Source organism: Homo sapiens, chromosome 14, assembly GCF_000001405.40.
Source record: "Homo sapiens chromosome 14, GRCh38.p14 Primary Assembly".
Taxonomy (NCBI): Eukaryota; Metazoa; Chordata; class Mammalia; order Primates; family Hominidae; genus Homo; species Homo sapiens.
This window is the reverse complement of record NC_000014.9, coordinates 18,880,258-18,882,324: the sequence shown is the minus strand read 5'-3', so window position 1 is coordinate 18,882,324 and position 2,067 is coordinate 18,880,258. Positions and strand designations below refer to the sequence as shown.

General features: G+C 57.8%; 1 annotated feature.

Moving 5' to 3' along the window:
* Positions 1,177–1,677: an enhancer, noted in NCBI's record as "H3K27ac hESC enhancer chr14:20106558-20107058 (GRCh37/hg19 assembly coordinates)". NCBI's record gives its function as "activates a minimal SCP1, AML or CMV promoter by ChIP-STARR-seq in primed H9 embryonic stem cells {active_cell/tissue: H9 hESC(primed)}" and the evidence as "EXISTENCE:reporter gene assay evidence [ECO:0000049][PMID:30033119]".

Sequence of the window (2,067 nt, the reverse complement as noted above, 5' to 3'; positions counted from 1 at the left end):
GGAGGGAGTAAAGGAGAGGGGGATGGGAGGGTGTGTACTGGGGCCTGTATTCTACGCTGGGCAGAGTCCCAGCCACTCCTCATGCAGCTTGTGAGGAAGCCTTTGGTGGTCATCTTTAACAGGTGAGTAAACTGAGGCTCAGAGAGATCAGTGGAGTCATCTGAGAGAATGTGCGTTGATGCATGTTCCCTGCTGGGCACTTCCTCTCTCATCTAATCCCTGAGGCCAGCCCTGTGGGGTGGGTATCATTCTCCCCAATTTATAGAGGAAGAAACAGCACCAGAGAGGGGAAGGGACTCACCCAAGGCAGGGGATCCTGAGGGCTGGTCTGGATCCTTTCCCCAAGTGCTTAATCCCACAGTTCAGAGGGCCCTGAAAGGCGCTAGGGGCTTCTATCTTAGCACAGGGCACTTCTGCCAAGGTCGTGGCAACGACTGGGGGGGCAGGAGGCCTGGATGCTTTGTGAGGGCTCTGCCTTGGCACCACCATGAGATCTGAGCTTTTCCCTCACCTGGGCAACTGGAATGAGCAATAGCCATCCGTGGCTAGGTGGGGTTGTGGCTTGTAAACTGTAAAGTCCTATGCAATGTGCAGGGTGGTGGAATGAGCATCTGTGTACCGCCCCAGACTGCAGTCTAGTAAGTCACTTGACATGAGTCACCCCGTCTGAGCCTCACCTGTGAAGGGGCAACATTAAGCTGAGGGGGGAGGTGGGGGGAAGAAAGGGGACAGCGAAAGGCAAGGAACCCAGCTAATGGAGTACCCAGACAGCCTCTCCCTCCCGCACAGCTCTCCATCTCCATCCAGTCCCCCGTCTCTACCCCAAACAGCTCAGTTCCCCAGAGAAGCTCCCTGGAAACCAGGAGGCTGACTTCTTCACCAACTGCAGAACCACCTGAGGCCACGTGGCAGGTGAGTCGGTGGCCTTTCTCCTGGACTCGCCTGCCTGGCTCCTTAAGGCTGTGCTGGGCTGGCCTGGGTCACTCACCCTTTGGAGTCTGGCTTCTTAAGCAATGTCCTATAAAGCCAGGGCTGAGCCTCCGCAGCCCTCTGAGATGGAGCTGGCCTCCGGGGCTGCCCGACCCAGCAGCTGTGACCTCCCACCCCAGATCCTGGCTCCTTCTCTCTTGCCAGCTCTACTCCAGGCATCGAGCTTCCCTCTCTCTCTCTTTTTTGGTCTCTCTCAAATCTTTCTCTTTTCTTATCCTCTCTCCCTCCACCCCTTGCCATTTTAGTCAGTCTTTCTCTTTCCTTCTTCTCTTTTGTCTCTCAAACTCTTTTTTCTTTCTATCTTGGTTCATATCTGTTCAGGGAAAGCCTCTCTGTCTCGGCCTCTCCTTTTTTCCTTTTCACTGTTTATTCTTCCCTCTCTCCTTTATCTCTCCGTTGCTCTACTTCTCTGCCTTTTTCTGAGTCTGTTTCCTCTCACCATCTCTCTCTCCATCCGTCCCTCCCTGTATCTGCCTCTCTCTCCATCTCGCTGCTGTGTCCAGCTCTCTCTCTCGCTCATTCCTTCCTCGCCATCTGGGGATCTCCCCGGCTCCGTGTCCCCTGCAGTGCCCCGCGCCCCAATCACCGGCCAAAGCGCCCGCGGAGCAGAGCAGGGCCAGCCCGGCCAGCGCGCAGAGCAGGGGCCGCATGGTGCCGGCCTGGCTGAAAGCAGCACGGCATGTGCCCGCAGCCGCCCTTCCCGGATCGTGCCCGGCAGGCCCTGGAGACAATGCTCTCAGTCCGAGCCAAAATTCCTGGGCGGCTCCGGGCTTTCTGGCTGGAGAGAACCCGCCCCCTCCAGAGGCCCCTGGGCACCCCGTGGGCAGCGCAGAACCCAGAAACCCCCGGGAGCTGAGGCACCGACTTGCCACCCGGGCGCCTTCGGAGGAAAGGGGGCCGCCCCCCGAGTTGAGTTGGATGGAGGGGTTGGGTGAGGTCATGGGCTCAAGGCGACTGAGCCTGGGATCAGGAGTTTGTTATGAGCCCATTTCACAGGCAGGCGAACTGAGACTAGAGAGAAGTGTCTTCCTCAGCATCACTCTCAGCCATGGCACAAGATCTGAACCCTTGTCTCCT